Source organism: Homo sapiens, chromosome 22 (genome assembly GCF_000001405.40).
Source record: "Homo sapiens chromosome 22, GRCh38.p14 Primary Assembly".
NCBI classification, from domain to species: Eukaryota; Metazoa; Chordata; class Mammalia; order Primates; family Hominidae; genus Homo; species Homo sapiens.
This window is the reverse complement of record NC_000022.11, coordinates 17523378-17537899: the sequence shown is the minus strand read 5'-3', so window position 1 is coordinate 17537899 and position 14522 is coordinate 17523378. Positions and strand designations below refer to the sequence as shown.

The 14522-nt window shown below is 44.8% G+C and overlaps 1 protein-coding gene across 12 annotated transcripts in view; it reads right to left on the bottom strand.

Annotated features, from left to right (window-relative positions):
- The window catches only part of CECR2 (CECR2 histone acetyl-lysine reader), a 198203-nt gene that overhangs the window by 20252 nt on the left and 163429 nt on the right, over window positions 1–14522 (bottom strand). For all 12 annotated transcript variants that reach the window (NM_001290046.2, NM_001290047.2, XM_017028785.2 and 9 more), the window contains 2 exons: window positions 13629–13782; window positions 668–797 (listed from right to left, as the gene is read on the bottom strand). In NM_001290046.2, the coding sequence (NP_001276975.1) occupies window positions 668–797; window positions 13629–13782 (284 nt within the window). The remainder of the gene's footprint in view (window positions 1–667; window positions 798–13628; window positions 13783–14522) is intronic.

Sequence of the window (14522 nt, the reverse complement as noted above, 5' to 3'; positions counted from 1 at the left end):
GCCTCAGCCTCCCGAGTAGCTGGGACTACAGGCATGTGCCACCTCACCTAATTTTTTTTAAAATTTTTATTAGAGACGGGGGTTTCACCATATTGGCCAGGCTGGTCTCGAACTCCTGACCTCAGGTGATCTGCCCACCTCAGCCTCCCAAAGTGCTGGGATTACAGGCGTGAGCCCGGCCTATAGCACATTTTCAACTAGGGTTTATTTTAGTTATGAATATTTTTGTGATCTAAAGAATAATCCAAAAAATCATATGATAAATGAGCTCAGGAACACTGAATGTGTATCTGCCTCTTGAGTTTAGTAAGGAGTCAAGACAAATGGTACCTAGTACTGTCACGGGAAGTAATTACTTTAAAAAGAATAAACTTCTATTCACATTTCCAAGGAGCTAATTTACATAATAATCAGATTCTGATTTCATTAAATTGAGGGGATGAAGAAAGAAGAGCTTAGTGTTAAGTATCACAGAGTGTGGCAGCAAGAGTGTCAGAGGCCAGGGTAGCTAGGCGTGTCTGTGTGTGCAGGGCCCGCCCTGTTCACTCACACATGGTGACCATGTTACCCAACAGGGCTGTTCTAAGGATGACATGGGGCAAGTGCCTGAATGCTTCATAAATGCTACCAGTTGCTACTGCTGTTGTTGTTGTTACTAAATACTCACAGGTCTTTAGTCTTTTTTTCCTCTCTCATGGGGGAATTGGGGTCCAGATGGGAAAGTTCTGGAGGGAGCTCCTTTCCTTGAGCCAGCAGCCATGCCCTTTCTTCCCTGAGCTTTCTCCTCTTCGCTCGATCTACAATGAACACAAAGGCTGAGTGAGCTAAGCACACTCCAGACACTGACATGGCGTGTTCCTTCATCACTGTGAGAGAAGGAAGAACCAGGCCACCAAAGCAGGATTATGAAGCAACTTCTGCTCCCTGTGCCACCCTCTTTTTGGTAATTAGGATGTTTCTACAGATGGAATGCTTTAAGACAAGGGTAAACTAATTGAACCTGTTTCCTCACTCACACTGAGCTCAAGGTGGGAGATGAAGGTGGCAGGGCAGGCACAGGGTGGGCAGGAGGGGAGGGAGTAAGGCAGAAGAAAACAGAAGAATGGCAGTCGAAGAAAAAGGAAAAAGTACAAGGTTGAATGAGGACTATCTTCTCGGATTACTTGAGGCCATTCTGATCTTTTACTTAAAAAAAGCAACATCCGCAAATCCTTTTTTAGGACCAGACTCTCAGTCCATACACACACAGGATTTTAAACGCACGTCCCAGCTCTTGCCGTTCTGCGTTTATGAAGGCATCCATGCAAGCAATGGTCTGCTCCCCACCCCACCCCCAGATCAGGCAGCAGGCCCTGCCGCCAGTGGGATTTTGGCTGGGAAGAGGGGAAAGATGCCAGCTGGGATTGGCAAGGAGCTGGAAGGCAGGGATGATGATTTTCTTCCTGGCTCCCAGCCACAGCCATGAGAAGCACACTTGGCATTCCATTCCCAGCCTGATGGGGCACTTACCACTTGCAGGGAACAAGGAGGTAGGGGCCAAAGAAAAGAGGCAAGGAGAAAAATGAGACTGCCAGACAGCAAGGCACAAAGATGGAAGGGAGGAGAAGCCAGCAAGAGCCTCTATTTTCTTTTCTTTTTTATTTTTATTTTTGAGACGGAGTTTTGCTCTTGTTGCCCAGGCTGGAGTGTAATGGCGCCACCTCGGCTCACCACAACCTCTGCCCCCTGGGTTCAAGCGATTCCCCTGCCTCAGCCTCCCGAGTAGCTGGGATTACAGGCATGCACCACCACGCCCAGCTAATTTTGTATTTTTAGTAGGGATGGGGTTTCTCCATGTTGGTCAGGCTGGTCTCGAACTCGTGACCTCAGGTGAACTGCCCACCTCAGCCTCCCAAAGTGCTGGGATTACAGGAGTGAGCCATGGTGCCTGGCCTGAGCCTCTACTTTCTTCCCCAATTCTAGCTTCTGTTCCACAAGGGATAGGATCTTTGCCTGACTACTGCTGTGAGCAAGACACGATCCCTGTTGGGTTGCATTTGACTTGAGTTTTTGTTCCTAAATTATTTTCATTTGTGATGCTAATCTATATCTCCTTTAATCAATGAAAAGAAGTTTGCTATCACCAAATTTTAAGAAAAATTTTAAATTTTTAAAAATTATTTTTTTTTTCGACTTCTAAGAAAGTTCTCTAAACCAACTATTTTTTTTTTTTCTGGAAAAAAAAGAAAAATTTCAACCATAAAGAAAACTGTAAATTAATGAATACGCATGTATCACCCAACCTGTCAAACTTTAAACATTTTGTCTTATTAATGTTAATATAGTATTTCATGGTATGATTATTCCACAGCTTAACAATCCATTATTCTCCTTGATTCCAGTTTTAGAAGTTTGTAAACAATAGTATCAACAAAGTTATTTTAAAACATGTCTTCTCAAGCATGTGTGTAAGGATTCTCTAAGATGTGAACCCAGCAGCAGAATGACCAGATAGGAGTAAAAAGTATATATGTAAACTTCATCAGGCACTGTCAAAGGGGTGTCCATCATTTCCAAAGAGGTTACAGAATTTTTTTTTTTTTGAGATGGAGTCTCACTCTGTTGCCCAGGCTAAAGTGTAGTGGTGCGATCTCAGCTCACTGCAACCTCCGCCTCCCAGGTTCAAGCGATTCTCCTGCCTCAGCCTCCTGAGTAGTTGGGACTACAGGGGTCTGTCACCACGCCTGGCTAATTTTTTTTGTTTTGTTTTGAGATGGAGTCTCACTCTGTCGCTCAGGCTGGAGTGCAGTGGTGCGATCTCGCCTCACTGCGAGCTCCGCCTCCTGGGTTCACGTCATTCTCCTGCCTCAGCCTCCCGAATAGCTGGGACTACAGGCACCCGCCACCACGCCTGGCTAACTTTTTGTATTTTTTAGTAGAGACGGGGTTTCACTGTGTTAGCCAGGATGGTCTTGATCTCCTGACCTTGTGATCCACCTGCCTCGACCTCCCAAAGTGCTGGGATTACAGACATGAGCCACCGCACCTGGCATTTTTTTTTTTGAGACAGAGTTTCACTCTTGTTGCCCAGGCTGGAGTGCAATGGCATGATCTCAGCTCCCCGCACTTTGGGAGGCTGAGGCAGGTGGATCACGAGGTCAGGAGATGGAGACCCACCTGGCTAACACAGTGAAACCCTGTCTCTACTAAAAATACAAAAAAAAAGAAAAAAAAAAGAAAAAAAAATTAGCCAGGCGTGGTGGCAGGTGCCTGTAGTCCCAGCTACTCGGGAGGCTGAGGCAAGAGAATGGTGTGAACCCGGGAGGCGGGGCTTGCAGTGAGCTGAGATTGTGCCACTGCACTCCAGCCTGGGCGACAGAGTGAGACTCCGTCTCAAAAAATAAATAAATAAATAAATAAAGTAATCAAATATGTCAGTTCTCTCTCTTTCCTTATGGTTTTTGCTTTTTGTACTTAAAAATTCTTTTCTATCCCATCTACAACTTCTTCAGAAAGGTTCTGGCCTTTAGTGTATCTGGAACTTATATAAGGAGCAGGGATGTAAATTTTTTCCCTATAAATGAACAAGTGTCCTGGTACCACTGTTCTCTCCCAAGAGACAGGGGTCTCGCTCTGTTGGGATCATAGGTCACTGCAACCTTGAACTCCTGTGCATAACGGATCCTCCCACATCAGACTCCTGAGTGGCTGGGACTACAGGCACACACCACCACGCCTGGCACTGTTTCTGAAAAACCCATGTTTTCTCTCAAGGTCTGTTTCTGGTCTCATTGTCTATCTCTATGCCAATACCATTCTCTCTCAATCACTGCAGATTTGATCTCATTATGTGGCATAATGATTGACCCTATCGTATTGTTTTTGCAAGTTTTCATGCCCTTTGCTCGGCCGGGCATGGTGGCTCACATCTGTAATCCTAGCACTTTGGGAGGCGGAGGCAGGCAGATCATCAGAGGTCGGGAGTTCGAGACCAGCCTGACCAACATGGAGAAACCCTGTCTACTAAAAATACAAAATTAGCCAGGCGTGGTGGTGCATGCCTGTAATCCCAGCTACTTGGGAGGCTGAGGCAGGAGAATTGCTTGAACCCCAGAGGCGGAGGTTGCGGTGAGCCGAGATCACACCATTGCACTCCAGCCTGGGCAACAAGGGTGAAACGTCATCTCAAAAACAAACAAACAAACAAACAAACAAACAAAAAAAGGCCCTTTGCTCTTTTATATGAATTTTAGGAACAGTGTGTTGAGATCCACAGATTCTTTTTTTTTAGGAGACAGAGCCTCACTCTATCACCCAGGCTGGAGTGCAATGGTGTGATTTCAGGTCACTGTAGCCTCTGCCTCTCAGGTTCAAGCAATTCTCGTGCCTCAGCCTCCCGGGTAGCTGGGATTACAGGTATATGCCACTATGCCTGGGTAATTATTGTATTTTTAGTAGAGACGGGGTTTCATCATGTTAGCTAGGCTGATCTTCAACTCCTTAGCTCAAGTGATCCGTCCACCTCGGCCTCCCACGGTGCTGGGATTGTAGGTGTGAGCCACTGTGCCCAGCTATCATAATTTTTTTTTTTTTTTTTGGAGATAGAGTCTCACTCTGTTGCTCAGGCTGGAGTGCTGCGGTGGCGCTATGTTAACACACTGCAACCTCTGCCTCCTGGGTACAAGCGATTCTCATGCCTCAGCCTCTCAAGTAGCTAGCTGGGATTACAGAAGTGCACCAACATGTCCAGCTAATTTTTCTATTTTTAGTAGAGACGGGGTTTCACCAAGTTGGCCAGGATGGTCTTGATCTTCTGACCTCGTGATCTGCCCGCCTCGGCCTCCCAAAGTGCTGGGATTACAGGTGTGAGCCACCGCGCCTGGCCGGGTCATGCTATCTTTTAATAAAATTGTTCATGTTGACATTTATAGAATAATAATGAGCGGCTAGGCGCAGTGGATCACCTGAGGTCAGGAGTTCAAGAACAGCCTGACCAACATGGTGAGACTCCATCTCTACTAAAAATAACAAAAAAAATTGCCAGGCGTGGTGGCACATGCCTGTAATCCCAGCTACTTTGGAGGCTGAGGCAGGAGAATTATTTGAACCCGGGAGGCGGAAGTTGCAGTGAGCCGAGATCGCACCACTGCACTCCAGCCTGAGTAATAGAGTGAGACTCCATCTCAAAAAAAAAAAAAAAAAAAAAAAAAAAAAAAAAAAGAATAATAATGAATATACCTACTTGGTGAATTTCTTAGCTATAATAGTTTCCTGGGTGATTTTCTTGGAGTTTCAAGTCATACACCACCTCAAATATGTATACATACCTATGTATTTTTCGTTGTAGACACTAAATCCTTACAATACAATATTAAATGGAAACAATAGAGGAAATCCTTGTGTTTATCCTGACTTTAAAGGGAACACTTCTAATGTTTCCCCATCAAGTAGAAGGTCTGCCTAGATTATTAAGATATTGGCTGAGGAAGTTTCATTCTATTATTCTAAGTTTGCAGAAAACCCCAGGAAGGCCTGAAACTACTAGAAGCTGGAAAGGCCACAGACTCTCACCTACAGTCTTTAGAGAGTGAAACCCTGTCAATAACTAGATTTTGGATTTCTAACTTCCAGGACTATGAGAGAATAAATTTCTGCTATTTTATGCCACCTGGTTAATGTAGGTTGTTATGGTAGCCCTAAGGAACTAATAAAAAAATTCAAAATGCAACCCACTACCCACCCCTTCCTTTTTTTGAGACAGGGTCTTGCTGTTGCCCAGGCTGGAGTGCTGTGCACAACCACGGCTCACTGCAGCCTTGACCTCCTGGGCTCAAGTGATCCTCCTACCTCAGCCTCCCGAGTAGCTGGGACTACAGGCATGCACCACCATGTCTGGCTAATTTTTAAGATTTTCTGTAGAGATGGGGCCTCATTATGTTGCCCAGGCTGGTCTTGAACTCCAGGACTCAAGTAATTCTCCTGCCTTGGCTTCCCAAACTGCTGGGATTACAGGCATGAGCCACTGCACCTGGCCATCAATCCCATCGTCCCCTGAGGTCTGCTGTTGCTCCTATCTGCTATCACTATTAAGAACATCCTCTCAGGGTAATCCACCTTTTCCACATTGGTTGTTTTAGGGAACAGAATGTTCTATAATTCAGTTCCATATGCCCACATATAATTTATATCCAGTTTATATCTCTTCTTGCTTTCTGTATCTGAGGATCAGGGTTTTTCATCAAACCAAAAAACTACTCAATCATTGTTTCTGAACATTCTCTTGGCCTTACTATACTGATTCTTTCCTTCTAGAACTTACAGTGAACACATACAGGACCTTTCATGTTTTCTGCCACCTGCATCTGTTATGAAGCCTTTTCTGATGGTTGCAAATCCAATTTTCATGTTCTGCTTTGTGATAATGGGGCTGGGATCCTGCACATACAACTCCCTTCTCTGCTGGTTTTATATTCTACCAAAGGGAGCATCAGAGGGACCACGGGAGGCACGCTGAGGAAGACAGCGATTTCCTTCCATTTGCTTGCTGATGCCGTTCAACTCATCCTAGGATGGATGGTCCTGCATCTGCGAAGCCGCACTTGGCAGCGGGAGTTTGCCTGCCTTCATAGTGCTAGCAGTGGGGCTGCAGCCCCCCACCTCTGACAATCCCGATTCCTCCGTCTGTGTCACCACGGGGATCCCTTTAACCTTTTTTTTTGTTTTCTAACTCCCATTTTACCAAAGAGTCATGTGATGTTTTCCCTGCTGAAGTAGCTAGTGTAGTTTTGGTTTTCAAGGCTGGACCCCAACTGATTAACTACAAGTTACTTCTTTCGTCATGGCCGGCTTCATCTCATTCTAGTTACCCAGACATATCACCCAAATGAGCATACAATTCAGTAGCATTAAGTGTGTAAGTAATGTTGTGGCGCCATCACCGGTATCCATTTCTAGTATCTTTTCATCACTCCAGTCTGTAACGTTAAACACTGACTCCCCATTTCCCTCTCACCTCAGCCTCTAGTACAAAACATTTGTCCACGTGTGTCCTGCTGATATCACTTCGTGTAATACCTTCAAGGTTCATCCATGTTGTAGCATGTTTCAGAATTTCCTTCCCTCTTAAGGCTGAATAACACCCCATTCTAAGTGTATACTGCATTCAGGTTCTCCTTTTATCCACTGGTGGACACTTGGCTGTTTCACTTTTTGCCTTCTGTTGTTTTTTTTTTTCTTTTTTGAGGGGGACAGAGTCTCGCTCTGTTGCCCAGGCTGGAATGCAGTGGCATGATCTCAGCTCACTGCAGCCTCTGCCTCCCGAATTCAAGCAATTCTCCTGTCTCAGCCTCCCGAGTAGTTGGGACTACAGGTGCACGCCACCATGCCCGGCTAATTTTTTTTTTGTATTTTTAGTAGAGACGGGGTTTCACCATGTTGGCCAGGATGGTGTCAATCTCCTGACCTCGTGATCTGCCTGCCTCAGCCTCCCAAAGTGCTGGGATTACAGGCGTGAGCCACCGCGCCTGGCCTTATTTTTTTTTTCTTAATCCACTTTCCTCCTTTCAAGTTTCTTTAAATAAATAAAAGCTCTGAGTCCTCTCCTTGAAAGTATGCAGTCATGTGCCGGGCGCGGCACCACTGCACTCCAGCCTGGGCGACAGAGCGACACTCCGTCTCAAAACAACAACAACAGCAGCAACAACAAAAGTATGGGTAATGTAACATTACAGGAGTTTTGAAAAAAAAAAAAAATTCAGGGAACTCCAAGATGAGTGACCATCAGCACTGTTGAGATGCTAGAATATAAATACCAGCATACGACAGAGGAACTATTTACAGGTAGATCTTCACATCATTATGAAATTTCTTCTCAGTCATTCCCAACACAAATATTACTCATTATGTTAAAAGGACCTGCAGAATAAAATCCGCTTAGAATGTCACACAAAGCTTGTTTCTCTGAATAAACTGTTGTAATTTTTAAAAGTGTCTGATTAGTACATAATTGATTATTTCTCTTTTTTTGTAGTTGGAAGCTACTAAAAAGTCTGGAAAAGGTTATTGTAAGTATCTTATGGCTTACAAAAATTCCTTCCATAAGAACTATCATGGGAGGCAGAGCGAGACTTTGTCTCAAACAAAGAAAACTATCATTTGTGACTTTAAATGTGTGTCAGAGACTGTCCTGTTTTCATTTAATCCTTCCTTTTTTTTTTTTTTTGAGACGGAATCTTGCTCTGTCGCCCAGGCTGGAGTGCGGTGGGGCGATCTCGGCTCACTGGAAGCTCCGCCTCCCGGGTTCACGCCATTCTCCCGCCTCAGCCTCCCGAGTAGCTGGGACTACAGGCATGTGCCACCACGCCTGGCTAATTTTTTGTATTTTTAGTAGAGACGGGGTTTCACCGTGTTAGTCACGATGGTCTTGATCTCCTGACCTCGTGATTCGCCCACTTCGGCCTTCCAAAGTGCTGGGATTACAACCGTGAGCCACGGCGCCCAGCCCATTTAACCCTTCTAACAAGGTCTGCACAGCCCATCCCAATGCGACCCTGGGCTACCTGGTAGGACTCAATTCATGCCCAGCCAGCCTTCCTGTGCTTGCTCTGCTCTGCTCCGCTCCAGCCGCGCCGGGACTTCCAGCCAGCCTTCCTGTGCTTGCTTTGCTCCCCTCCGCTGCAGCCTCGCCCTGGACTTCCTGCTGCATATCCCTGCCTCCGTGCCTCTGCTCTTGTCTGCACTGCGCCTTCCGCTTCAGGCACTCACGGGTCAACCTCATTCACTTTATTTAAATGTCAAATCTTCAGAGAGGGCTTTCTTTTTTGTCTGAGACAGGGTTTTGCTCTATCACCCAGGCTGTGTTCAGCAGGGGAAATCAGCGCTCACTGCAGCCTCGATCTCCTGCGCTCAAGGGGTCCTCCTGCCACAGCCTCCCAAGTAGCTGGGACCACAGATGGAGCCACCACGCCCAGCCATGTCACTCTTTACCTGTAAACCTGCCTAATTTTACTTCAGATCACTCACCACTATTATCCCACAATATTTGTCTACTCTCCACCTTCTCACCACTGGAATGAAAATAGTACTTCTGGCTGGGTGTGTGCTCACGCTTGTATTCCCAGCACTTTGGGAGGCTGAGGCAGATGGATCACTTGAGGCCAGGAGTTCAAGACCAGCCTGGCCAACACGGCAAAACCCCATCTCTACTAAAAATACAAAAATTAGCCGGGTGTGGTAGTGTACACCTGTAATCACAGCTACTTGGGAGGCTGAGGCATGGTAATCACTTGAACCTGAGAAGTGGAGGTTGCAGTGAGACCAGATCATGCCACTGCACTCTAGCCTGGGCAAAAGAGTGAGACTCTGTCTCAAAAATAACAAAAAAGAAAAGAAAAGAAAAAAAAAGCCATACTTCTCTGCTGTGCTATCAAATGCCAGATCATATTCATTCATAATAACTATTTTTTTTGTACCCATTAACCATCCTACCTCTCCCCAACCCTCCACTATCGTTCCCAGCCTCTGGTAACCATCCTTTTCCCCTCTATCTCCACGGGTTCAATTATTTTGATTTTTAGATCCCACAAGTAAGTGAGAATATCCAATGTTTGTCTTTCTGTGCCTGTCTTATTTCATTTAAAATAATAACCTCCAGTTCTATCCATGTTGTTGCAAACGACTGCATCTTTCTGTTTTTATGGCTGAATAGTACTCCCTTGTGTATCAGTACCACATTTTCTTTATCCATTCATTTGCTGACGGACACTTAGGTTGCTTCCAAATCTTGGCTATTGTGAACAGAGCTGCAAAAAATATGGGAGTGTAGTTATCTCTTCAATATATTGATTTCCTTTCTTTTGGGTGTATACCCAGCAGTGGGATTAATAGATTTTATGGTAGCTCTCTTTTTAGTTTTCTAAGGAACATCTAAGCTGTTCTCCATAGCGGGGGACTAATTTATGTTCCTACCAACAGTATATGAGGATTTCCTCTTCTCATTCTCACCAGTATTTGTTATTGCCTGTCCTTTGGGTATAAACCATTTTAACTGTGTAAGATGATATCTCATAATAGTTTTGGATTTCCATTTCTCTGATGATCAATGATACTGAGCACTTTTTTCATAAGCTTGTTTGCTTTTTTTTTTTTTTTTTGAGACAGAATCTTGCTGTATTGCCCAGGCTGGAATGAAGTCTTGGCTTGATCTCTGCTCACTGCCACCTCTGTCTCCCAGGTTCAAGCAATTCTCCTGCCTCAGCCTCCTGAGTAGCTGGGATTACAGGCGTGTGCCACCATGCCTAGCTAATTTTAGTATTTTTAGTAGAGGCAGGGTTTTGCCATGTTGGCCAGGTTGGTCTTGAACTCCTGATCTCAAGTCATCTGCCCGCCTCGGCCTCCCAAAGTGCTGGGATTACAAGCATGAGCCACCACACCTGGCTTGTTTTTTAATTTATTTTTATTTTTTTGAGACAGGGTCTCGCTCTATTGCCCAGGATGGAGTGCAGTGGCATGATCTCAGCTCACTGGAGCCTGGACCTCCCAGGCTCAAGCTATCTGCCCATCTCAGCTTCCCAAGTAGCTGGCACTACAGGTATGAACAACCATGCTCGGTTAATTTTTGTATTTTTTGTAGAGATGGGGTTTTACCGTGTTGCCGAGGCTGGTCTTGAACTCCTGTGCTAAAACAATCTGCCAGCCTTGGCCTCCCAAAGTGCTGAGCTTACAAGCATGACTCAACATGCCTGGCCTCGTCTGCATTTGTATGACTTCTTTTGAGAAATCTCTATTCAAATATTTTGCCCATTTTAATATCCGATTATTAGACTTTTTCCTAAGAGTTATTTCAGCTCCTTCTACATTCTGGTTATTCATCCTTTGTCAACTGGGCAGTTTGCAAATGTTTTCTCCCATTCTGTGGGTTGTCTCTTCACTTTGCTGGTTGTTTCCTTTGCTGTGCAGAAGCTTTTTAACTTGATGTGATCCCATTTGTCCATTTTTGCTTTGGGTGCCTGTGCTTGAAATCAATGTCCTAGAGGGTTTCTCCAACGTTTTTTCTTGTAGAGTTTCATAATTTGAGGTCTTAGATATAATTCTTTTTTTTTTTTTTTTTTTTTTGAGATGGAGTCTTACTCTGTCACACAGGTTGGAGTGCAGTGATGCAATCTTAGCTCACTGCAACCTCTGCTGCCCAGGTTCAAGCGATTTTCTTGCCTCAGCCTCCTGAGTAGCTGGGATTACCGGTGCCTGCCACCGTGCCCGGCTAATTTTTGTATTTTTAGTAGAGACGGGGTTTCAACACCTTGGCCAGGCTGGCCTTGAACTCTTGACCTTGTAATTCACCCGCCTTGGCCTCCCAAAGTGCTGGGATTACAGGCATAAGTCGTCACGCCCGGCCTTAGATATAATTATTTAATCCACTTTGATTTTATTTTTGTATGTGGCAGGAGATAGGGGTCTAGTTTCATTCTTCTGCTTATGGATATCCAGTTTCCCCAGCACCACTTGTAGAAGAGACTCTTTTCCCCAGTGTATGTTCTTAGCACGTGTGTTGAAAATGAGTTCGCTGTACGTGTGTGGACTTGTTTCTGGATTCTCTATTCTGTTCCATTTGTCTGTGTGTTGGTTTTTATGCCAGATCCCCATATTGTTTTGGTCCCCACAGGTCTGAAATACAATTTGAAGTCAGGTAATTCCTCCAGGTTTGTTATTTTTGCTTAGGATAGCTTTGCCTATTCTGGGTCTTTTGTGGGTCCATATAAATTAAAGGATTTTTTTTTCTATTTTTGTGAAGAATGTCATTGGTATTCTGGTAGACATTGCATTGAATCTGTAGATTACTTTGAGTACTATGGACATTTTAAGAATACTGATTCTTGTTATCCATGAACGTAGAAAGCTTTCCAGTTTTTGGGTGTTCTTTTCAATTTGTTTCCTCCATGTTTTATAGTTTTCATTATAGAGCTCTTTCACTTCTTTGGTTAATTCCTAGGATTTAATTTTATTTGTGACTTCTGTAGATGGGACTACAATACAGGCATTATTAATCTTACATTACAGAAACTGAGCCATAAAAATGAGTTTTGGACCTGCCTATATAAATTAAAATGACAGGTGTACCCAATAAGGACCCTATTAAATAAAAAAACACAATTCCACTAAAAAATATAAACAAATAAAAGCCAGTTATTATGTCCTGAGGAATTTAAATGTGGCACTGGACATAGCCAATTATGGAAGATCTTACAAGTGAGATATACTACATAGTATGACACAGGCTAAACCTGTAGATTATATGCACTAAGGGTTGTTTTTTTTATTGAGACAGAGTCTTGCTCTGTCGCCCAGGCTGGAGTGCAGTAGCACGATCTCGGCTCACTGCAACTTCCACCTCCGGGGTTCAAGCAATTCTCCCACCTCATCCTCCTGAGTAGCTGGGATTACAGGCGTGAGCTACCACGTTTGGCCATGTTGGCCAGGCTGTCTCAAACTCCTGACCTCAAGTGATTCGGCCACTTTGGCTTCCCAAAGTGCTGGGATTACAGGCGTGAGCCACTGTGCCCAGCCATCATTTCTTTCTTTCTTTTCTTTTCCCTCCCTCCCTTCCTTTCTTTTTTTTTTTTTTTTTTTTTTTTTTTTTGGAGATGGAGTTTCACTCTTGTTGCCCAGGCTGGAGTACAATGGCACGATCTTGGCTCACCGCAACCTCCACTTCCTGGGTTCAAGCGATTCTCCTGCCTCAGCCTCCTGAGTAGCTGGCATTACAGGCATGCCCCACCACGCCCAGCTAATTTTTTGTATTTTTAGTAGAGATGGGGTTTCTCCATGTTGGTCAGGCTGGTCTCGAAAACCCAACCTCATGTGATCCGCCCCCCTTGGCCTCCCAAAGTGCTGGGATTACAGGCATGAGTCACTGTGCCTGACCCCTCATTTCTTTATTAATTCTAAAATCCTTAATGTGGGCAGGCACAGTGGCTCACGCCTGTAATCCCAGCACTTTGGGAGGCCGAGGCGGCAAGATCATTTGAGGTCAGCAGTTTGAGACCAACCTGCCCAACATGGTAAAACCCCATCTCTAAAAATACAAACATTAGCTGGGTGTGGTGGCACGCCTATAGTCCTAGCTACTCGGGAGGCTGAGGCAGAGGTTGCAGTAAGTGAAGATTGTGCCACTGCACTCCAGGTGGGCCACAGAGTGAGACTATGTATCAAAAAAAAAAAAAAAAAAAAAAAAGGGCCAGGCATGGTGGCTCATGCCTGTAATCCCAGCACTTTGGGAGGCCAAGGCGGGCAGATTACGAGGTCAAGATATCGAGACCATCCTGGCTAACACAGTGAAACCCCGTCTCAACTAAAAATACAAAAAATTAGCCGGGCGTGGTGGTGGGCACCTGTAGTCCCAGCTACTTGGGAGGCTGAGGCAGGAGAATGGCATGAACCCGGGAGGTGAAGCTTGCAGTGAGCTGAGATCACGCCACTGCACTCCAGCCTGGGCGACACAGCGAGACTCCGTCTCAAAAAAAAAAAAAAAAAAAAAAAGAAATTGCCGGAAACAACTTGGATGCATGGCAGGACTTAGCTTGAGTTGGCTCTGGCTACAGGACGGCTGGTCGACAGACATGCACCTCTCCAGACCACGCGGACACTGCACATACCTTCCACTGCCTTGACCTTCTCCTCCAACTCGCGTTTCCTCTCTTCCTTTAGCATCTGCTCCTGCTCCTTCTTCTGCACTGCTAGAAGAATCTGACGCTCTTCTTCCTCCTCTTTGCGCTTTTGTTTTTCTATTCTGGTCAGCACAGGAGTCTCCTGTGAGGAGCCAATGAGCACATCCGGTCAGTACACAATCATGCAAGATAAGCTCTTTGCTCTCAGTTCATTGAATTCAGTATTTTCAACAAATAATATTAGCTAGGGACTTTATATCACGAAAAGCTGATTTTGTTATCTGTAAAATACACATGGATATACATAAATGTTAAAACATAAGGGAGATTCAAAATGGTAAAACTTTTGTGTCCAACAATTTATATAATTTGTGGTATTTAGGAGACAATCTTATGGATAATTTACTGGAGAGAAGAGAAACTGGGGCAGTTCAGAGATGTGTTTCTTTAGAGTTAACATCTGATAAAGGGAAGCTTTTTTTTCTTTTTTTTTTTTTTTTTTTTGAGATAGAGTCTCGCTCTGTCGCCTAGGCTGGAGTGCAGTGGTGCGATCTTGGCTCACTGCAAGCTCTGCCTCCCGGGTTCACGCCATTCTCCTGCCTCCGACTCCCAAGTAACTGGAACTACAGGCGCCTGCCACCACGCCCGGCTAATTTTTTGTATTTTCACTTGAGATGGGGTTTCACCATGTTAGCCAGGATGGTCTTGATCTCCTGACCACGTGATCCACCTGCCTCAGCCTCCCAAAGTGGAGGGATTATAGGTGTGAGCCACCGTGCCCAGCCGATAAAGGTAAGTTTTAAAAAGCGCTAGGAAGTTTTAAAAAGTATACTAGGATGAAAGACAGTCACTCAACAGAACACAGTTCCTTTTTTTTTTTTG